The 24,812-nt window shown below is 33.9% G+C and overlaps 1 long non-coding RNA gene across 1 annotated transcript in view, besides 2 other annotated features; it reads right to left on the bottom strand.

The window, feature by feature from the left end:
- Positions 1–24,812, bottom strand: part of LINC01378 (long intergenic non-protein coding RNA 1378) — a 260,706-nt gene that overhangs the window by 128,180 nt on the left and 107,714 nt on the right. The window lies entirely within an intron of this gene.
- Positions 3,271–3,770: an enhancer, noted in NCBI's record as "H3K4me1 hESC enhancer chr4:118478309-118478808 (GRCh37/hg19 assembly coordinates)". NCBI's record gives its function as "activates a minimal SCP1, AML or CMV promoter by ChIP-STARR-seq in naive H9 embryonic stem cells {active_cell/tissue: H9 hESC(naive)}" and the evidence as "EXISTENCE:reporter gene assay evidence [ECO:0000049][PMID:30033119]".
- Positions 3,771–4,272: an enhancer, noted in NCBI's record as "H3K4me1 hESC enhancer chr4:118477807-118478308 (GRCh37/hg19 assembly coordinates)". NCBI's record gives its function as "activates a minimal SCP1, AML or CMV promoter by ChIP-STARR-seq in naive H9 embryonic stem cells {active_cell/tissue: H9 hESC(naive)}" and the evidence as "EXISTENCE:reporter gene assay evidence [ECO:0000049][PMID:30033119]".

The following is a 24,812-nucleotide window of genomic DNA, read 5'->3' as shown; positions in this document are numbered from 1 at the left end:
ACTAATTCAGGACACCCTACATTTGCTAATATCCTTCTTGGAATGTGTTGCCTAGAAATTAAAGTTTTCCAGATATGCTGATCAGAGCACAGCATTCAGAAGAACTCTATTTTCCTGAGAAAATACTTTTTTCTACTCATGTATCCTAAATTTGCTTTAGATATTTTTTACAGTAAATTGATGGTTCCACTGAATTTATAATCAACTTAAACTCACAGCTCTTTTTCAAATTATCAGTAGTTGCTGTGTGCTTAATGTATTCAAACCCAAACAGGAACTTTTTCTTCATCCATATGCAGTTCTACCATACTTATTACCTATTAGAGACCTTGGTTGTTGAATGTCCATGTCCTTACCGATTTTGATTCTATTAACTTATTAAACTTTACTCCACTTGGTGGCAGTCACAGTTTGATAAATAAAAAACTTCTACATCTTTAGGCATTTTAAACCTTTCCATGAGTACAGGGCCAAGTTTAAGTCCTTAAGAACACCATTACAGACATCTTCTCCAGACAGATACTGATATATTTACACCAATTCTGGGTCATGTTGTTAGAGTAGGTATGAATTTATCTAAATCTACTGCAATGTACTTCTCAACTATCTTTCTTGAACAGCAGAATATCCCGAAATGTTTTTTCAAGGTCTCTGACAAATAAGATTTCTAATTGAGAGAACCCCAAAGAAAGAAACTGTGTTAGTTTTACATGATTAGTTCTGAGTGAATTTGTATGTATTACCCATTGATATCCACTACCTTCAATGTTTTCACAATCATGTGGTTAAATACGGAATAGGCTTATAGAGTAGAAGGCAATATCTATAACAATTTAGGGAGTTAAACATTAATGGCTAATCATAAGAGGTTGCTAGATACTCAAGAAAACAATTGCTTTTTCTTTTATTCTGAGTGACAACTAGCAACTAGCTTCATTTAAATTGTGGACTTTGAATGGAAGTAATGTCTGCTCTTGAAGGACCAAGATTTTTGTCTGTTTGTTTGTTTGAGACAGGGGTCTTGCTGTGTTGCCCAGACTGGTCTTGAACTCTGTGGCTCAATGGATTCTCCTGCCTCAGCATCCCAAATAGCTGGGATTACATGTGCACACCATAATGCTTGGCCAGAACCAATACTTTTAAGAAACAGATGTATCTCCTCCAAGTTGCCTCATACTCTATCTATACTTAATGCAGAGAATTGCAATGTTTTAGGGAACAGCAGAGATTGAAGCTGTATGAACACTGTTTTCTGAATCAAGATTAGCTAAAAGCAGCTGGTTCTTCAGGAATACCTACTTTAAATTACTATGGGAAGGAGAATTAAACTTATTCTGTTTTTGTCTTCGTATATTTTTGGGTTTATTTAATTTAGCAGTTAAGCCAACCAAATTAACCCAGTTTGAATTCCTTCTGTAATTTACATACAAAAAAGACTTTTAGCTTGTACTTAAAGAGCTTTAATAATGAAAAAAAAATTAAATAACACACTTAACCAATGCAGAACTCTTTAAGAAAATTCATCTTTGTTTAGCTGGAATGTTTCTCTGAAGAGACTTTATTAAATCCTGTCCTTTCACAGAATCACTCTTTAAATCTTTGCATAATAAATAAGATTATTGTTTGCTTTCTGAATAATGTATGGGTGCCTCACCTTATAACTGCAAAATTAAGGCATCTCTATCTTCTAGGGGAAGCAATCCAGGAACTGTTTTTACATTACAATTATCAAGATTCAGATATGGCAATTGTGATTTTGTATCTCAAGGAAGCGACAATCCACTCAAAATAATCTGCAGCATACTCACCGGAATACCATGAAGCAGAAAAGGGCATGTGCTAGCCATCTTTGGGCATTGTTTTGGGCAACTGTGAGGGAATAGCCAAAGTTTGGATACCACAGTGGTAGACACCATCTGGCTCCCTTCCACCCATCTGTCGCAGACACACCTGATAAACCACTCTATTTTTTTTTGATTCAAAGTGATACAAACCATTATTCATTATCTTTCTACTAAGAACATCTAAGAAGCTCTATCACTGTTAATCAAGAGAATCCCAAACCAAACTACCTTGCTAGGGGAAAAGTCTCTGAGGAAGGATGTGCTTCTTATTTGGTTGCCTAGCCTTTTAGCTGAATGACCAACTCATTAAACATACCTCCCTTTCCTCAATAAGGGAAGATCCAAACACTATTACGTTTTCTTATAAATTGCGCTAAACTTTGTTATACTTTCTTTTCTTTTCTATGTTACTCCTAATGTTACTCTCACATTTTCCCCTGACTTTCTGGCCCAAGATTACTGGCCATTTTTTCCTTCATACTTGAGAGGTTCAGGAGGCATCAAGATCACCTTCACTCCTGAAACCAATTGCAAGTTTGGGGGAACCCCAAGACCATTTGCAAGTCTCATAAATCATTAGAAAGATTTGCAGAACTCACTGAAAGCTGCTTTACTTGTGGTTATGGTTTATTACAGGAAAATACTCAGATTAAAATTAGCAGAGAAATAAATTCACAGGGAAGAGTTTCAAACATGAGTTGTTTTCTCCCAGCGGAGTTGTAAAAAGTCGTAACTTCTCCCAGCAATAATGTGTGACAGAGTTTTAATGGGTCATGGTCAGGTAGATGTAGTTGCCCAGGTGGCTGGCCTTAGTATCCAATACCTTTAGGGGTTGACCTGACCAAAGGTATAGCTTTGGTGGCCTAAAGACCCCATAATAAATCATAATGTTAGCCTAGACTATCTGGTGGGTCCAAAGTCCCCATCATATATCCTATTGTTATAGTAGTCCAAGGCCCCCAGTAAACAAAGACTCCAAGGGAAGACGTTTTAAGAATCACCTCCCAGAAGCAAAGGCCAAAAGCCAGAACTCTCTTTGGATAAGGTTAATCCATTACTCCCTCCACAATAATTTATATGGAACTTCTTCTGATATGATTTAATAACAGCACATAAGAAAATATTATAGAAGTACATTTCATCATTTAGTTATTAATTCAACAGGTAACTATTCAGCATTTTCTGTGTACCCTTTCTATTTTCCCTGTAAGCTCTCTGTTCTATACCCTTCATGTCCTTTTGACCTCAGCTTTCCTCATGTTTTTTTTTTTCTTGCCTTGTTGTCTTGGGTATAAAGTTTTCCATTGCCTTAAGTGAGAATACATCACCCATGATCATATTAGAAGGAAGTCTAACCCAGATGTCAATGCCTAGCTCGTGGAATTCTATTGGGTATTAATTTGCCTGGCACATGACTGACACTGTTTCCAATCACCTATGCAGTGTAGCCTAATGCTCCCCTTCTTACCTGCTATTACTTCCCACCTCTTTCCTCCTCACCAAATACAATTTCCACCACATTCACTTCCCAATACTCTTGAAACATTTTACAGATGCTGCTGCCTAAGGGATTTTTTGCAGGAGCTATTCTCTCTTTTTGAAGTTTTATTTAACATATATCTGTTCTCCACATTTTCTCAACTCTTTCATGCCTTTACTGGAAAGTCATCTTCTCCAGGAGGCCTATATAATGCTCTATCTGGAATTGAAAAACTCTTCTTTCAATCTTCCTATCTCTTTTCCCTGCCTTATTATTATTATTATTTATTACTATTTTTGAGACGGAGCCTCACTCTGTCGTCTAGGCTGGAGTGCAGTGGCAACATCTCGGCTCACTGCAAGCTCCGCCTCCTGGGTTCACGCCATTCTCCTGCCTCAGCTTCCCGAGTAGCTGGGACTACAGGCGCCCGCCACCACGCCCGGCTAATTTTTTGTATTTTTAGTAGAGACGGGGTCTCACGGTGTTAGCCAGGATGGTCTCCATCTCCTGACCTCGTGATCCGCCTGCCTCGGCCTCCCAAAGTGCTGGGATTACAGGCGTGAGCCACTGCGCCTAGCCTATTATATTTTTTACTTAACATAAAATTCACCATGTAACATCCCATATAATTTAGTAATTATAATGTTTGTTAACTCCCTCTCCTTTCTAGTAGTAGATATCAAATGTCAGGATATATTGTATATTTTGTTCATCATTTGATCCTGAAAAGTTAAAATAAAACTTGATTAGACAGTAGGTGCTCAATAGGTATTTGTTCAATAAGCATATAAATAAATGGATAAAACAATGTATTTTCACATAAAATGTGCCGCTCTTAAACAATATCTTTCTTCTTTTTATTCAATTGGATACTTTAAATGTGTGTCATAAAGTACATGTCTTTTCGTTCATCCCATTTAGCCACGTTTTTGAACGTTTTAGTTTTCTGAACTGTACTTAAGGCAGAGCAATCTAACCCAGGCTTTGAAGTCGGCAAGATGTAGATTTGTATTTTAGTTTTTCCACTACCAGCTGAATGACCCAGTGCAGGTTAATAATTTCCTCTAAGACTCAATTTTATTAACTTTAAGTATATACACTATCTATTTCACAGACTTGTTGTGAAAGTGCCACACATTATTTTCATAATAAACTTGCTCTTTTTATTTTCTTTCCACTAGTATATTTTAGACACCGATTCCATTATTTAACTTCTTCCTCAATACCTCAGCTACATTTTTTCAACAAACTTAAATCTTGCTTTTAATCCCTGTCTCCAGATGTTTACTACAGTTTCTCAACTTGACAATGTTGAGAATATTGAATAGAAAATATTAATGTTTTCCTCATAAGTCCATTTGGTTTTTAGTTGCCAGCTCTTCTTTTTCAAATATTAATCTTATATGTCCCATCACGATTCTTTTCCCTTCAGAAAAAACAAAAAAAACAAATTTTCCAATTTTTATTGTTTTGATGTATTTTCATTTCCTCGTAATTACTCAAAGATTTATCATCATATTCAAACAATCCCATCTACAATTACTTATAGTCTCCTCAAATGACATTTTTCCCAGCCAAGAGACTTGACCTCATATAGAGCAGTGAGAAGCATTTTAATCATCATTTTTCTAGTCTTAGTTTTCCATTTACCCTTGCAAATTTTCCCTTTTTCCATTTATGGAAAACACAGAAACAATATGGTGTCATGTATTTTTGCAATGTTACCCATTAACTTAATACCATCAACTCCAGGCAGTGAACCTATCCATTTATTGTTAACTTTGTTCTCGTGTATTTAACAAAAACAAACTTTAAATTTTCAAAAATTGTTACAAGCCTCAGCTAATACTATTCTTACAATTCTGTGATACTCACTAACTTTCATATTGGTTTTTGTTTTATTTACATCTTATTACATGTTCTTGTTTTCATATCAATGTAAATATTCTTCCAGAATTTAATTTGCAGGAAGATCAGTGGCAAATGTAATAAATTTTTAAGATAAATCTTATTTTTCTTCCTCACAAATAACTACATAGCCAGAAATACTTTCTCTGAGAGCATTCGATTGCTTGAATAATTGTCCACTCTGAGATATGAATTAGCACATTCTTTCTACCCGAATTTTTAGAAGTCTGTCTTCCCAAAGTCGAGAATAAATTAATCATTATGCCCAGTCTTCAATTTCATGGCTATCAAAATTCTATGATGACAAAATTACTTTCTCTCTCAGTTGCCATTTCTTCCTCATCAAGTTATTCCTTCTTGTTCATCACTGTGAAGTCATTAGAAATGAATCAGTAAATAATTCTTCATTTTTATCACAAAAGCCCTTTTCTCATTGTTTTCCCATTAAAATGCATTGCTCATAATACTTTATTTCCAAACCAAAATAGTAGGTTATATGTAGTTATTCTTAAGTATTCAGTTATTTTCAAGCATTTTAAAATGATAAAAGTGTACCAGGGACCCCCATATCTAATTTTAGATGTCTCTGGTGATAATGTTTAAAATTGGACATATTTCCTAAGCTTGGAAAAATAAAACTTTCAACAAAATGGGAATTTCCAACAAATATCTGGAGAGATGGGCTATCATAATAACTATAATAGCTTGCCTCTGAATCTGTATTAGGAAATTATTATGGATACATTCTTGATAGCCGAATTTTTAAATATATATTTCTTCAATAGTAACACTCTGTTTCTCTCTTTGAATCTTTCTTAAACCTTGAATTGACTATGGCAAAGAACGTTGTAACGGATGACATAGTAAGATTGTGCTCACTTTCAATCAAAACACTCTTCCTCAGATTTCACTCTCTGGGTCCACAATTTTATATTCTTCTACACTTGATTTTCTATGGGCTTTATTTATTTCAAAGTACTTTTTCTATCAATGATTATATTCATGATGTTCTAAAATAAGCCTGTAATAATTATGTTTAATTTTATTTTTACTGAGATGTATTTGTGATCAAAACATTTGGAATTCACTCGTTTAGTTATTGCTATATTGGTGCGATTTCTCTGGGGAGTGTACAAAGAAAGTGTTCCTAGTCAAAATTAATCACTCAGCCCTCTATCTACCTCTTGCCTTTATGTCACAATCATATTGGTTTTGCTGAGCTGCCTTGTAAAGTTAATTAAGTGCTTGCATACCTTGTACTACATTGAAGTTTCAGCAAAATTTAAACCAGTGGAACACTCCCTTCTTGAAAATTTCTCTTCCTTCGCTTTTTTGTCATCACAGTCTCTTGATTTTCATTTTACTTTCATATGCCCTGTCTTCTTTATACACGTATCCCTTATGTTTTGTTTTCCTGTGATTTGCCTGTGTTCTGCTGCCCTCGTCATTATATGTACTCTTTCTTGGTGGTTTCATAAGCACTACAAGAGTTTCAAACACCTTGTAAATGCCATTGACCCTCAAATCATCTTTTTAATAAAATTTTCTCTTCTTCCTTTTCTCCCTGACTCTGTGAGTTAAACCACCACTGATTACCCAAGCCTTACAAGTGAGAGCCACAGCTAACCTTCTTGCTGTCAATGAATTCTATGTTTAATTTGCCATAAATTGTTATAGATTCTACACTCTGAATACCTCTTGCATTCATTTTCTTATCTAATTTCCAACTGACATCGTATTAATTCAAAATTCATCCATTTTTACCTGGATCACTGATATAACCTTCTAATGGATTTCATCCTTATTCTGTCATGTGAAGCAGATTTATGCTTTCCAATTTCAGCTGGGCCCTCAAAATTATTTGGCAATCCTTTTACTTGTCAGTCAAATGAATCTTGATTTTATAGCCCTGACCTATGTACTAGTATGAACATTGCTCTCTTTTTCACCCTGTCAAGTCATGATTTTTGGGAGTCTGACAATGACACTTTGCAAGTAACCACATGGAAATTTATAAGCTTCTTTCTCCATGCCAAATTGTCCCTGATTCTGCTGTCTTGCTCCTGCTACCATTTGCCCATGGCTGTGAGCAGCTTGTAAGAAGTCTCACCATTGTTCCATCCTAAAATGCTGACATCCCTAGTAAGTAAGTTGTTTTTAGATAATCTGAGAAATTCTCATCTTTGGGATATTGGAATGATTCTGATCTCGCTAGAGGCAGGGAGAAGGCCTTCTCCCAGTCTAATGCTATACTTCATTGTGTCAGCTCCAAAGCACAATATCCAACATCCCTCTAACAGAACCTTGAAAGTTTCTGACCCTCACTCCTTAACCAGAGGTGCGCTCATTCAATCATACTGCCACAAATGAAGTGGACTTCTGTGAACTCTTTATTAGAGTTCATTCTTTATTAGATTACTCTTTATTATTTTTTTCCAATATTTTACCCTTCTAATTCTATTGCTTTAGAGAAAATCTCTTCTCTAACAGATATAAAATAAAAACATGGCCTTCATTTTAATGGAATCAGTAGATAGTGGGGAATGTAGAGAGAGATGGAAGGAGGAAGCATACTGTTAACTTTTGAACAGAAGTAGGGAGCAAAAATATTATTTGTCACCATTGTCTGAATTCATCTTCTTTGTGGGCTTTCCTTGGCTTGCACTATGAATGTGAAGTGTTCTATTCTAAGCCTGCTTGTCCTTCTTTGATGTCTATTCATCTTTTTTTTCATAACTCTAAGTTGATGCTATTGCTTCCAACTTCACAGAGAAAAACTAGTTTCTCATTTATGTATTCGTTCAACAAGCATCCATTTAGAGCTAGAAATACCTTTTTCTTCAAGAAGTTTACAGTGTAATAGAGGAAACAAAACAAATATTAAGTGATTATGTCGCTGTGGTCAAAATCCACATAGAACACGGGGGCTCAGTGAAGGGAGAGTGAAATTCTGTTAGAGATGGAAATCAAGGCTTCATAAAGAAATTGAAATTTCAGAAGTCTGCATTTATTCCTCCCACCAATATAAGATTGTTTTGAGAATTAAAGGTTGCAAAACATATGATGCCAGTTAGTAACATTTAAACCTTAAATGGTTTTATAAGTGTGTGTGTGTGTGTGTGTGTGTGTGAGAGAGAGAGAGAGAGAAAGAGAAAGAGAGAGAGAGGGAGAGATAATAAGAGATCATTTTTGACTTCCTGTTTAAAGGAAGAAATATGTTTTTTATTATTTTTACCTCGTTGTGGATGAATCCAATAAATTATGTAAATATATAATTTGACTGAAATCTTACTAGTCCTTCCATTAGGGAATACTTTCAAGCTTTCTGTGTTTTCACTTTATTATTATTATTTAAAATTTCATAGAGTATATACTCATGAAAAAACTTTGAGAAGGATGAACAAGTTTTTTGTCTGCCTTTAAGGTTGTTTATAGTAGAGGAGAAAAGGACGAAATAATAGCTGTATGTGAAATAAATGAGTCCAAGTTTTATAAAATTGTAACATCATTATAAAAGCTTCTTTTAAATTCTATCTTAATAGAAAAGTGAATGGTAGTCCCCTTTCTCTGCTTTGGGGAAAATTGTAGCTCAGGTATATGTGTAAGGCCTTAAAACTCATTTTAATGGCGTGGTCATGGCTGAGGGTTCTAGCTAATGTTTTTCATTTACACTAGCAAGTACATGATTGGTAGCAGCTTAAAGAAGCATCACTTCAGACCTTTATAAGCAATAGAAAATAAAGTATTACCCTCAAAGGCCATCAACATCTCTTACTGAAGTCATTAACCTTTAAAAGGAGAGACAATTTTAGATGTTTGTTTATTGTTTTTGGAATGTTGTACCAAACCTGCCTTGAGATCGCACTGCTGTAATGTTCTAATACATAGCATCTATTATCTTTTTGGGTAAAGGTGTATTAGTCTCAGTTTGGTTAGGAAACCAGAACTGCTCTAAGAATTGAGAAAAGAAAGTAATTAATGTAGAAGCTGAGGATATGGGAATGTGAGAAGGAGGTGGGGCGTGGGGTAATTAGTGAGTAGAGGGATGGTAATGTAGGTTCAGAGGGTCAAGAACCAGTCACTGCTGACATTAGCCTGAAGCACTGAACAAGAGGACTCCATTGTTGGCTGGGGAATTACTTCAAGTTCTAGTGTTCACAGAGAAACAGGGACATCAGGGAGATATTTGAAGCACTGGCGTGTGTCTATCATGACTTCCTGAGGGAACTGTAACTTCTTCTAAATGTGCGCAAGTTCCTTTTATTGTTAAACTCTAACTTGGAATCATATATAAGAAAGGGTATTCTGGGAAACGTAGTTTCTGACTTCTCTGCACTCTAGAGGAGTCCTTAGAAGTGGGCACCAACAGTGCAAAGCAGACAACTGGACAACTAGTAATCCAGCAAGTGTGAACAATGTGTTGTATGCCAGACTTGATATTTGTTACTTCATACTTACGATTTAATAAAGAGATGGTGAAATTAATTTTATAGTTAAAAAGTGAAAATTTTAACTATACAATGTTTAAAAAGTGAAATTTTTAGCTACACTTTAAATTTGACATAGTTTCTCATTATATCCTAAGTATTTTGATATGAAATGGTTAATAAAGAATATTATGTTTTCTTCACCCTGCAAGAAATCAAACACAAACAAATAAGCCAAATATACTGAACAGCATGAGACTGAAAAATATTATTTCTCTAACAAAATTTTTCTGTTTTTTTAATTCTTGTTGACATGCTTAACTATATTAACCTTTCATTTGGTTAGTTTGATAATATGATGAAACTATATTGATTCTGCTTATCACTAAATATATTATAAGAACGCATGTATATGTGTTCTGCAAAATATGATCAAAGTATTATTGTTTCCGAAAATCTTTTTATGAGCACATATATGTGTATGTGTATGTGTGTGTATGTGAATGTGTGTCTATATACAGTGACACATACATATGTGTATATAGACCCGTGTATGTATGTATGTATAAATATATTTTTTGTATGAAGCTGATTATACTTTTGTACGAATCACAAGCTAATTATAGCAACGGATTCTTTTATTTATAGCAGCTCAACTTGTTTAATAAACAGTTATTATATGCAGTCCTGAGCCAAGTCCAATGCCATAAACTAGTCAAAATACATTATTTTTAATACCCTCAGTATTCCCGCTGGTAGAGCAGTGATACTTTTCTTATAAAAATTCTGCCTTTGGGGCATCAAGCTTTTCCAGCTTTAAATAAGACAAAATTGATTTTGTTGCAACAGCCTCGATTTTTGTGTAGACCTATGTTAAGATACTTTTTTTAATTAAATGTCAAATCCAGCTTGGCACTGCAAACACAGTGCATGCTTGATGTTTGAGGAAAAGCTATCAGCTTGTCTCTCCCTGTCAAATTGCCAGCTGCCTTGTAGTGATAGTTTAGGCTAAGGGATCACTGTTAGGCAGAACTTCGTATCACAAATGGCTCAATGCTGTGTGACTTGGGGGAAGATGTGAGACAACCTATTTGTCTTTGTGAGATTGAATTTTATACTTTTAATTATTTAAGGTTATTTTAGGTAGTTTTCTTGTAGATGTAACAATAAATCAGAAATCCCATTCAGAGAAAGGCATAAAAAGGAAAGGTGAAATCCTTCTAAGTAGTAATTTCTATGAATCTTAGCATCTGGTGCTATAGTTGGAATAGAAGATTTATATTTGCCATAGCAATATTTTATATTACTCCTTTTTTACATCTTAAGAAATCCAAACCATAAAGTAATTGGTAGTCAAGACACTGGGACTCTGCCTCTGTTCTTTAGAACAACTTACTCCTTGTCATGATGTTTTTTGCAAGATTGTGCAATCCGTTAATAAATTACAAACCAGAAGCAATTATCCAGATAATTAAAGCCTCCCACTTTCCTCCAAATAAATAAACTAAAAGAAAAAGAGAGGAAACGTTGTTGGCATTTTTCCTACTCAAGGATCCAAAAAAGAAGTCACTGCAGCCACTAATAGTACAGCCATAAACAACGCAGGGTTGTTGTTGAAACGAACACTAGCAACATAAAGATGAGAGGAGAATTCATTCACCGAGGCAATTTCCAGCAGCAGTATTGAAGCTTTTCTTTGGTAGGAGCAGCCAAGCTGTGTCCAGGCCAGTGGTGGAGGACTACTGTTTTGTTAGAGTCTTTTTTTTTTTCTAGACATTAACATAGGTGCACCAAGTTTCTTTTGATTAGGATTTGCTTTTTCTTTTTTTCATCATTGTGCTTTTAATCTTTCTATATTCTTACACATCTCTACTGAACAGAATACTGTTGGATATTTTAAATCCCATCTGATAATATTTGATTTTCACTGACCCATTCAGTTCATTTACATTTAATGTAATTACTAGTATATTTGTGTTTTTCTTTATTATCTAATTTTGAGTTTTGTATTTGTTTTATTTGGTTCATGTTATTTCTTTCTTTTTTTTTTTGCCTCCTCGGAATTGATTCTTTTTACTCTTTCCATTATATTTTTCCTCCTATTTTGGAATATATTTATCTGCTTTAGAATGTTCTAAAGACTACAATGTAAATATTAAACTTACCTAATTCTAAGGTGAATGAATACCTTTATCCTGCTCCCAGAAAATATAAAGATGTGGACTCATTCATCTACGTAAATGTTATGCAATTATATCTTTTACTGTGCGATATACTCTAATTATTGTATATAGTCAGTATTTGTTTAGATTTACTCACATTTTTACACTTTTCTATGCTTTTCCTTTCTTCTGTCCTCACATGTCTTTTACATAAGACTAATTTTTTTCTGAGTCAAGTATAGTGATAGAATTTCTTTGCAAGAATCTGCTGGTGGTAAACAGCTAGATTTTGTTTATCTGAAAAAGGTCTTTATTTGTACATGTGCCACCCATAATACTTCTCTAAAAGTCTTTGTTTATTCCATCAATAACATTTATTGAAATCATAGCATAAGACAAAATGGAAGATTTTAGTTTATACCTTACTCCATATTCTCTTCCTATCCCTAGCCTCCTCCCTCACCATAAGAATACTGTGTAGACACCCCAGCCTGCATGTCTAAGTTCTGTTTACAAAATCAGTCTCCATTTTGAGGGGTGAGGACAGGGCAAGGCCAGAAAGGAGCTTTGTACAATGCTGGGCCCAGGGCAAGGATCCTGATTGCCTGGGTCAGAGGTTAGAGCTATTTCTTTTGTGATATCTCTTGAAAAATGTGTTTACAGTATGGAGTTCTAGGTTCACAAGTTCTCCTCAGTCTTCAGGAGTCTATCAATACTGTCCGGAAGCTACCTCTCAGACTCAAGTAACTAGCTTGAAGATAATCTGGTCCTTTTATCTGACAATTTTAAAGACCTTCCCTTTGTCTTTGACTTTCTGAAGTTTCACTATGATGTGTCTAGTATGAACTTCTTTTTATTTATTTTATGTGAAGTTTATTGGGCTTTCTGTATCTGAGAATTTGTGACATTCATTAGTTCTGCAATATTCTCAGCCATTGTTTCTTTAAATTTTACCTTTAATCCATTTTATCTTTTCAACAATTATGTATTTTTTGAGTGCTTAACATGTGCCAAGCACACTTCTAGGTACTAGGGATATGTATCTGATCAAAACAGTCAAAAAACATCTCTATTCTAGTGGTTCCAGAAAATCTGCATACAAAAAAAAAGCAAAATCCATAGCATTTAAAAGACTGTTAGTGGTTATTACAAAAAAAATTAATGAAACAGGAAAAGAAGGCAGAGAGTGTCAGAGGCATAGTTACAATTTAAATAGTGTGTTCAGAGAAGGCCTCAATGAAAAAGTGATACTTGTGCAAATACATGGAGGAGGAAAGGGAGTGAGCCTCCTGTATATTTGGGAAAAAGAGATCTCAGGAACAGGGATTCACAAGTATAACAATCCTGACTTGAGAACAAGTCTGATGTGTTCACAGATATGTAAGGAAGCTTAACAGGCTTGTGCAGGATAATATTTTCATTTCTTTAATCCTTCTAAGAGTATCAAATTAAGGTCATCATACATAGGAGAAAACAATGGGGTTCTTCATTTTTAATTAAGAGGTACATTAAACACAACATACCCTATTGTTGTAATAAATATGTGCTGCAATTGCTGATAAATATGCTATGCACACTTAATGATTATGTTCATTTTGGTTGTATACATGAAACTTTATTGGTTCATAATAGCTAGTGGTTTAACTATATGAACACAGAAAAATGTATTTTATTTCTCAATGATTTTGTATATTATTTGGTCTAATCTTAAAATAGAGGAAATTTAATTCTATCAAGTAGAAGTTCTTACTGTGTAAAAAATACATTTAACATTCAATTAACACAATTAGAAAACTATTTTGATCTCAGACTGCTGTGCTAGCAATGAGTGAGGCTCCATGGGCGTGGGACCCTCCAAGCCAGGCCAGGGATATAATCTCCCGGTGTGCCGTTTGCTAAGACCATTGGAAAAGAGCAGTATTAGGGTGGGAGTGACCCGATTTTCCAGGTGCCAATAGCAAATACAGCAATAATTGTTATTTGTTTTGCAGTTGTTTGTGCCTCTCTTCCTCTTTTGCTGTCTTGCTTTGTCATTTGATGATTTTTGTAGTGATTTGCCTTAACTTTTCATTTTTTATGTTTCCTTTATGTTTGTGTATCTATTATAGGTTTTTTTCTTTGTGGGTAACTCAAGGTTTGCATAAAATACCTTGTAGTTATAATTATCCATTTTATGTTAACAACTTAACTTCAACTGCATATTAAAATTATACACTTTACTTTCCCCCACCCACACTTTGTGCTTTTGTAGTCAATTTGCTTCTTTTTATATTGTGTATCCATTAACACATTTTTATCTTTTAATTATTATATTAGAATTAAAAGTAACTTCTAAACCATTAAAAAAACTATTTTGGAGGTAAATTTTGAGAATAATTTTTCTCCCTTGGGTAGAAATTCATACTCTTTTTTGAAATTTAGTTTCTATTTTTCAACCAAATCTAATGCTAAGGTAACTTAGAAGCTGTATAGAATCTGCATAAAATCTCGCAAGGCTGTTCATAAGGAGTGTTTCATTGGCTTAATCATCTTAAATGGAGTTGATGCCAATGAAAATCTTCTTAAATACTATAAAAGAACTGCATTGATGAAAAAAATATTTTGTTATCTTAAAAACTATCAGCTACAATTACATTTGCTTCTGATCATTTGTGCAAATAATTTATGAAATCTTTAGATAAATGAGATAAAAGAGGATCCTTCAGGTTAAGACTATTTAATCAAATGGATACCCTGTTTTCTCACCTGGGGACATACTCTTCCTAGAATCATAAGCAATACAGGATGGAAGAACTTTCTGTTCTTATTGCTTTACTAAAGGCTTGGCTTTGCAAAGACACCACCTGGCCATCCCTGCTCATGCTACTAGAATTTTTTTGCAATTCTTTTACTGGCCTTTTCATTGACATATTCATGCTTAGGGATTTCATACTGCACCAGGACTTCTGTATAATGACAATCCTCTAATAACTATCTGTATTCAATATTTTTCTCCTCTTCCCAGGGCCTACATAAATAACTGCTTATTGGTCATCTCGATTTTGGTGCTTCAAAGTTGTCTCAAATTTAGTCCATCAAATTTATTTTATTGAAAAAAAATCCCTTTTCTTTTCCTGTGTTCTTTATTTCAGTGAATGGCATTACCAACTGCCATGAAACTTGACTGTAATATATCTTGAACCCTGTTTTATCTACCTATCCATATTTCCATGCATACATCTTTTTCAGAGAATCACTTTTTATTTCATTTTAATGGCTTTATTAAGATAGAATGAACATACCATAAAATTTACCCACTTAGAGTTTATAATCACTTTTATCATATTCACAGTTGTGTATCCATCACCACGATCAATTTAAACACTTTTATTACCCCCAAATAAACCTCATAATACTGAAATGCCACCTACCAACCCCTCCTTTCACAACACCCCTAGATAACCACAAATCAACGTTTTTTTCTCTATTGATTTATCAGTTCTGGACATTTCTTATAAATAGCATAAGACAATATTGGCCCTTTGTGACTAGCTTCTTTCACTTCAAATGTTTTCGATATTCATTCACATTGCAGCATATATCAGTACTTCATTCTTGTTTTATGGTCAAATAATTTATCATTGTATAGATATACCACATCTTCTTTATCCATTCATTGACTTATAGACATTTTGGTTTACTTCTACCTTTTGACTATTATGAATAATGTTGCCAAAAGCATTTATGTACAAGTTTTTGGGTGGAGATATGTTTCATTTCTCTTGGGTGTATACCTAGGAGTGGAATTGTGAAATCATACAGTAGTTCTATGCCAAACCATTTGAGATACTGCCAGATAGTTTTCCAAAGCAACTGCAACATTTTACATTTCTACCAGCAATGCATGAGTGTTTCATTTCTCCACATCCTTCTAACACTTGCTATTTTTTATCTTTTAGATTATAGTCGTCATAGTGACTGTGAAGTGTTTTCTCATTGTGTTTTTCATTTGCATTTGCACAATGACTAATGATGTTGAACACATTTTGCTGTGCTTACTTGTCATTTGTACATCTACTTTGTAATAATTTTTATTCAGATCCTTTGCCCATTTAAAAAAATCATCTTTTTATTATTGAGTTGTAACAGTTCTTTATATATTCCAGAGGCAAGTACCTGCTACATAAACCAGCCTAAGATGGCCTCTTTTTATTGGCCCTGAGGATGTTTATTTCTTCATTTAGGCTGAGATTTGTTAACTTAAAAGCTCACTGGTGCCAAACTTAAAAGTTTTGCACATCAATTATTTTTTAAGTTGCCCAAACAAGCTGATTTTTAGCCATTTAGAGACTGCCTGCTTTGCATATCCCATAAAACCTTGCCTCACGTCTGCTAGCAATAGATAAGCCGGGCCCTATAAAAATACCAAGCTGTTGCTGCTTTTTGGAGCTCTCTAACCTAGAGTTTTCCTTCCTAGTGACCAGAAGTTCCCTTGCCTTTTTCCACTTCTGTGTAGGAACCATCACTTCTTAGTCAGTGTAGCCCAATATAGTTGTGTGTGCTATTGCCGCCTCATGGCCATATATTTTTCCTTGATTAGCCTCCCAAGTCCCTTCAAACCCCGATACTATCTTATCAGATATGTGATTTGCAAATTTTCCTCATTTATGTAGATTGTCTCTTTATTTTCTTGATAGTGTCCTTTGAAATACAACATTTTTAATTTTGGTGATACCCAGTTTATCTTTTTGTTGTTGTTGATTGCGTTTTTGGTGTTATTTCTAATAAATCGTTGCCTGATCTAAGGTCACTAATATTTATATCTACGTTTTCTTCTAAGAGTTCTTCAGTTTTAGCTCTTACATTTAGGTCTTTATCCACTTTGAGTTAAATTTTGCCAATGGTGTAAGTTCAGCAAACTTCATTCTTTGCATGTGGATATCCAGTTGTCCCAGGGTCACTTGCTGAACAAAAAAATTAATATCTCTTATAGTAGTATCTTTTTATCTATTCTTATTGCAGTTGCTGTAGTTCATTTCACCATTTTTTTCTGAATTATGTGAACCAGTGCCCCGAATTAACTGATACTTGTTTCTTCGTTTATTTTCTGTACTACAGCCAATGAATTTTCTCAAATAAGAATTTGATTGTGTCCTTCTCTTGTTTAAAACTTAAAAATTAAGTTTTATAATTTCAAATAAAGTATAAATATCTTAGCACGGCACACAAATGTTGACTTTTTTCTCACACTTGGCCTTTATGCTACAACTATATTTTTAGTTTTTTATTTTATATTTTTTATTTTTTTTAATATTTTTATATTTTTATTTTATATTTTTAGTATGCCATGCTCACCCCTCTCAATTCTGTGCCTTTTCAGATGCTGCTTCTTCTTCCTATAAAACTCTCAGTGTCCTTTAGTTCTAGGTTACTCATTAAAGCTTTGAGAAAGTCTTCCTTAAGCAGTGTAAGACAGGGTTAGTTTTTCTCATAGATATAGAACTTTCACCTATCATGGTGGCTATGATAGTACACTGTAATCACCTGATGATTGTCTTTCTTCCTCTAGTTTGTAAATTCACCAAATTGAAAGACTGTCGTTTTCACTATGGTGTCTCCAGGGCTGAGTACAGTATTGGGTACAAAGTATACATTAAATTAATAATTACCATGTTGAATTACTTACTTACATTAACAAAATCAATAAGAAAATCTAACTTGAGTATTTTAGTCCAATTGTGAAAAGGCATGACAGTGAGTTACTGTAGGTATAGGAATATAGATTATTGAATGAAGAATAAGATTGCTACCCTTAAGCAGTTTATTGGCCATGCTAGATGTAAACCCATGAAATACAATAATCCATTTACATATACCCAAGAATGCATTAAAGAAAATCCTAAAGAAGTTCTCCAGAGAAGTTTACTTTTAAACTTCTTAGAAGCTCATTACTGGTCTCTCTTTTAAAATTCTAAATATGTTTGCTTTCTTGGGCATAGATTGTGTGATTTCCATGAAAATAAAATACAGCTCGTTTAGTATGTAAAATAGACAAACTATACACAAAACACATTTACTTCAATTCTGCAAAGTTTTGCTATTTCCTTCATATCTAATTACCATTCTAAGTGGTGGAGATAAACAGTTTTTGCTCTTGCATAAGCTTAGATTCTTGGGAGGCAGCAAGTCATAGAATTAGATAATTTCAATGCAATAGGGTAATTGCGATGATTTCAGTTGTAGGCATAATAGTGGGGCCTGGGCTAGCTTAGACATCTATGAATCTATGATATATTTGCAAAAATGAAAGGCAAAATTATTATTTTCAGCAATTGCATAGTAATAAATGAATAAAACAAATTATGAATACAATGATTATAAGTTTTTTTTTATGGTTACTAACAGAGAAATGTCACATCTCAAAATAATCTCTCGTAGTAGGTAAAACATAGCACCTCAAAAGCAGTAGTGGTAATGAAGGTCGTAGTAAATCTTCATTGCCATGTCCAATAATTAGATCTCATAATTCTTTACTGTGTGGATTAACATTAGGCAATATCTTACATTATAGACTGGCTTTTTTTAAAACTTTAGTTATTTTTCATCATAGAGTGGAAATTAACCAGAAATTGAATGATGGTGAAACCTTAATAGCTTTAGTAGTTTAAGGCTATTCAAGTAATTATACAGAAGAGGTCTCTGAAAAAAATTTATAGTTTACAAAATTGTAATAGTTTCAAGACATTAATTTCTTATGTGTCCTCCAATATTGCAAAGGCATTTTTACAAGCATGTATTTGTGGGAAATTCCAACAGAGCCTGGGTAATTTCCTGTTCTTTTAGTATCCTTGAACTTAGAACAATCAATTTAAGTTGGTTTTGGATGAATATTGAAGCTGTTACTTTCTGTGGAAAATTTACAATTATATTCTAACTATCCACCTTTAGAGGAATAATTCATTTAAAAAATAGCATAAACTTAGAGAGGCAGTAATGTAATATTTAGGGAAAAGGCATAAGTAATGTCATTCCCTATGCCTATGTGTAGGCCTTGGGATGGCAAACGTTTTCCTTCATTACAACCTCAACAACAGATTAAAATAAATAGTATTGCCACAGGAAGCAAAACTAATATGTAGGAACTTTACAAAATGCATCTTGCCAGCCAGCAGCAGTGCACATATAAAATGATGCTGAATCAATTGGATATCATCTTGATACTAGTACCCCACCAGAGAGCTAGTTGGAGAGCTAGTTGACACACTGATATAGATTTCCCTGCCACAACCTATTACTGCTTTACACTTTTTCTTAGCCAGGTGACTATTTCCTGTCTCCAAAGACTACAGCTTGGGATTAACGGTATTTCTTTTATCATGTCACATTCTAAAGAGTGACTTAAATGAGGAAACTATTAGAAAGTTTAGATATTCATATAAAATCATGCTGCAGGAAGTTAATAAAAATATGATGAGGTGATAGCCCCATCAAGGCATTCCACAAACAATTTCAATACATTCAGGATGTTTCAGACAAAGAACAGAGATAGATACATAGATAGGCAGATATTTAGTAATATTTTATTCATAATTTTCAAATATTCTCATGGTGACACTTATTCCCATAGTCTAAAAAATAAATTTTATAAAATAATAAAAATACAAACCACACTAGGGGAGAAAATACTCACAATCACCTATCCAATAAATGACTTGTATCAAGAATATATAAATAACTTCCAAAGTTCAATAATAAAAAGCCACCTAATATAAAATCAATGAATTATGTGCATATACATTTCATAACAGAAGATAAACAGACATCAATTAAGCACGTAAAAAGATGCTCAGTCATTAAATAAATGAAAATTTTGAATAATGAGATACTACTCCTCTTAGAATGTCTAAAATTTTAAAAAGACAAAGTATGCCAAGCGTGGGTAAACATGTAAAAATGTGTTAACTCTCATACACTACTGGTGAAAATACAAAATGCCAAAAACTCTCAGGAAAATAGTTGGGCGTTTGTGTAAAAAATTAAGTGGATATATACTATGTGACCTGTCATTCCACTCTTAGGTATTTACCTAAAAGAAATGAATACATATGTACATATAAAGATTTCTACATAAATGTTCATAGCAGCTTTATTTATAACAGTCAAAAACAAGTGAATGCATAAAAAATTTTAGTACATCTGTACAATGCAATATAAAGGCATAAACTATTCATGCATGAAAAATGAATGGATATCAAAATAACAAACTTATTTTATTATATACAATTTGAGAAAAAAAATATAGTAACACAAAGATAATCACTGGTTGCCTGGAAATGGGGTGAGATTGGAGAGGAGGACAAGAAAAGGAGAAACGAAGATTACAAGAGGACGTGAGGACATTTTGAGACTAGTAATGGATATATATATATAAATATACATATATATGCATCTTAACTTTGATGAAGTGTCTATACATATCATTGGTCTATTTTATATTAGGTAGTTACATATATCTTACGTATATTTATTTGTATATGTATATGAATATATAATCTTGATTGTGTTGAGAATTTCAACAACTTAGCAAGTTGTGTGCTTTAAGTGTGTGCTTTTTATTTTTTATCAGACATATAGTTCTACCTACATTTAGGCTAGTTAAATACTCTTTTCATAATTTTCAAAATGGTTTCTACGTGATATATTTTTAGTGGATATTTTGTCTTTATTTGTGGGCTCAATTATCCTTTGGTTAAGAAAAAAACTCCATGTGATAAACTCAAAAAATACATTATTCTTGCAGGAATTTTATTAGTGGTTTTGTTCCTCAGTAGTTTACCTTCAGAAACCTGGTAAATCCTTGGAGTTTTCTTCCTCTCTCTAGAGCAGGGATTGTCAAAATTTTTCTACAAAGGGAAAGATTTGTATAAAGGTAAATATTTTAGGCTTTTCAGGTAGTGTAAGATCTTGATTCCTTTTCTTTTCTTCTGCTTCCTCTTCTCTTCCACATTTCTCTCTTCCTTCACAATCCTTTAAAAATATACAGACCATTCTTAGTTTCTTGGTGATCCAAAAGTAGGCCACAAGCTAGATTTGCCTTCCAGGGCATAGAGTTCTCACCCCTGTCCTTTAGGATCATGGCTCACACACTGACACGTTTGGTGGAACCGTTTTTCCTGCTGCCACTCCCTGCTTACTTCATGTCACCACATGATGGTTCTCTGGGGTCATGGCTTGAGCATTTTCTACCACTACCTTTTCTCCTGCACAGCAGCTGTCCCTAGATGACTGGTGAGCTCTGCTCATCCCTTTGTTCTCTGCTGTATTCCTTGGTTCTCACATTGCTATAAAGAAATGCCTGAGATTGGGTAATTTACAAAGAAAAGAGGTTTGACTGATTCACAGTTCTGCAGACTATACAGGAAGTATGGCAGCATCTGCTTCTGGGGAGGCCTCAAGGAGCTTTTATTCATAGTGGAAAGCAAACTGGGAGCAGGAGTCTTACATGTCAGGAGCAGGAGTAAGAAAAAGAGTGAAGAGGTGCCACACACTTTTAAACAACCAGACCTCATGAGAACTCACTCACTATAGAGTACCAAGGGGGGATGGTGCTGAACCATTCATGAAAACTCCACCCTCATGAACTAATCACCTCTCTCCAGATCTTTCTTCCAACATTGGGGATTACAGTTTTACATGAGATTTGGGTGGGAACACAGATTCAAACCATATTATCTGCCCAGTCAGTTCTTTTCACAGTTCTGCTAGAAACTCAGCAATGTGTAAACAGAACTGACTCTTAATTATGAACTAGTCTCTTAATTCTGAACTAGTCAAATCTTTAATGAAGCCCCTATTAAATGTTACATGAACAAGAGTTGCCTACCTTTGCAAACTCAAATACTGTATTATACTGTATTTGCTTTCTAGTTGCCACTTAACTATACATTTCTAGATGTTTTCCAGACCTTGTGCTAAATCTGATTCTGTAGCTGTTATTGTCATGCAATTGTCACACCCCACTTGGCATTTTACTTACCCCATACTTATCTTAGAGTTTGCCATTTATGACACTAAGTTCATGTTTCATCTGAAGGTAGGAAAATCACTGTCTTCAGTTTTACACTTTTTTAATGTGAATTGACATAATAGAAGTACTTAGATGCTAAAAGTTTATTAACTTCTTTTTTTCAGTTTATCTAGATCCCCTTATCTCTCCAAGCAGGAGAGATAAAAGGTAAAAGGATGAAAACAATTCATGTAACAATCAATATAATTGGAGCTACCATTCCCTAAGACCCTCATATGCTATTGCTGAAATTTGAATATTATCCAAAAAACTTCCCCCTTGATGTTCTGAGGTCTTCATTTGCTACTTGTTTCTTTTATTTTGGACCTCTTTCTCCTTTCCTTCCTACACACATATAATGTAGCAGGTATGCCATATGAAGCTGAGCCCCTGTTACTGAAGGCAGTGGATGTTTTACCTGGAGTCTCCACATGTTCTTGAAAATAGCAGATACAACAAATCTTGGATTGAGCAAAGAATACACATTTTACATAGCACATCACAATATCAGGATAACTTTTGTTACATTTATCATTCTACATAAATAAAAAAGATTAAAAAGTGTTTATATTGCAGGCATACGTGTCCTCAATATTAAAGCATAAAACCCTAATGGTCATGCACATATCTTTCTGTTGCTATGCTACCCTAGGCCAAAGTTTGTTTGAATTTTCTTACATTATAATTCTTCAATCCCAAATACAGTGAATCACCTGGATATAAAAGGATATCATTGGGGCTATTTAAGTACAATACATTATCGATCACTTCAGTGCTAGTTCACTTACTTTCTCTTTAAAATAACTGCAGGAACATCGCAAATGCCACATTTAATTTGACTATAATTTTTATTTCTGTGGTGAAGACCTGTCTTCTATAGTGAGTATCTGTCAAAATTTAAGCTGGGTGTACGTTTCAAAGAATCCCTTTAGCATAAGGTCATGGAGGCAAACACCAATTACATGAAAACTGAACATGTTCATGTATAATAAATACTACTGCATAAAAAAGTACATGAAATTCTAAAAATATATCTAGGTTTTATTTAAAGGCGTTACCAATTTTCAGTGTAAAAGTGTCTGAACCGTATGTAAACATTATTACTCTTGATTAGAGATATGCTGATGAAATATTAGAAGAAAGAACAAACAGGCTAAAATGAAACTATGCTGTTAGTGAAACAAATTACTGAAGAAAGTAAGAAATTTGAAAATTTAAAAAAATGCTACAGAGACTAATAGTTAGATTTACATGCTTTTCTTATACCCACACATTCCTCCAATTCTATTAAATTTGAAAAATTGTTGTCAGATAACAGACAGGACATTCAAATATAGGCACAATATACCTATAATCTCTGACACTCATATTTATTTGTAATCAACTTCATATTTGGTACTTTTTCAGGAGTTTTATCATTAGACTCATATGTTTTTACATGTCAAATAGAGGTTTTGATTGTGCTTCAATGAAACTTACAGCTGTAAATAAAATAGAACACAAATATTCATGGCTGTATTGCTACATATGTGCTATAGATTGTGTTTTTCTGTGTGTGATGTATATAAGTATATTCACACATATACATACACTATATATATATATATATATATATAAAAATATCCACGTTCTTTTTAGTATTCTCATATGAGTATAAATAGAAGTGAAGGTCACTTTTAATGTTTTCAGGTGGGAAAAATACATTCAAAATAGTTTTGAGTTGTCAATCTGCAATAATAGTTAGAAACTGAGAATGTAAAATGTATTACAATAAGAATTTTAAAATAGTGCTATCAAATTTTATGATTTGTTTGGAAGTTTTAGTGTTGTCATGTATTATACACATGGAAATTTAAATAGATTGGGAGCATTGAACTGGTTTTTGGCTTCTTGGTATAGTTTTTGAAAAAACAAACAAACAAACTTTTTTCAAAGTCATAAGTTGTGTTTAGTGCCGATAGTGATGCTAATTAGAGTAGAAAAGTAGAAACTTCAGTTTTGAAACTAAGATCTAAAGCTATCTGAGAATCTAATGGTTCAACAGAAAACTTTGTACTTTTGAAATTAATTACATTATCAGACTTTGTTAAAAGTAGAAAAAGAGTGAAGCATTAGTTCAAGAGGCAAAATAAAGCAACAAAAGACAACTTTGTATTATAGCTGGTGTGCTAATGATGATGATGATGATGATTATTTTTTTTTGGGGGGGGGTTGGAGGCTCTTTGGGTCACTCAGGCTGGAGTGCAGTGGCACAATCTCGGCTCATTGCACGCTCCACCTCCTGGGTTCACGCCATTCTCCTGCCTCACCCTCCGAGTAGCTGGGACTACAGGCGCCTGCCACCACGCCTGGCTAATTTTTTGTATTTTTAGTAGAGATGGGGTTTCACCGTGTTAGCCAGGATGGTCTCGATCTCCTGACTTCATGATCCACCCGCCTCGGCCTCCCAAAATGCTGGGGTCACAGGCGTGAGCCACCATGCCCAGCCCTGATGATTATTTTTATTAATAAATGTTTCAAGTACTGAATGCTATATATGTAGCATTCATTGAAACTCAACTTCTTGGCATTCTCATAAATATGTGTCTGATGTTTCTTTAGACGATAGTATAAAGATACCTAGATTTTGGTACTATGAGGGCTAAGTAGAAGATAACAGTTAAAAATTCCTTTATTGTTTTAGTGGTTTTCAAGACAGAAGAAGCCAAAATAAATTAATTGTTTTGTAGATGTACTTCTTATATTGTAATCGATTTTAACTTAGTTTTAGAGGGGATATAAAATTGGAGATATTAAATTACACACAGACTGTTACTCAATCTTTCATATTAGATTTACAAATCAATCTGGAATGTGCTGACAGCATAAACTGCTACAGAAAAAGTTCTGTGTTCTCCTTGGGGCATGCATTTTTGTTTCTATGCAGTTATGCTATTTTCTGTTGAG

This window comes from Homo sapiens, chromosome 4 (genome assembly GCF_000001405.40).
Source record: "Homo sapiens chromosome 4, GRCh38.p14 Primary Assembly".
Classification (NCBI taxonomy): domain Eukaryota; kingdom Metazoa; phylum Chordata; class Mammalia; order Primates; family Hominidae; genus Homo; species Homo sapiens.
Note: the sequence above shows the minus strand (reverse complement) of the source record. Positions and strands in the feature narration are given on the sequence as shown.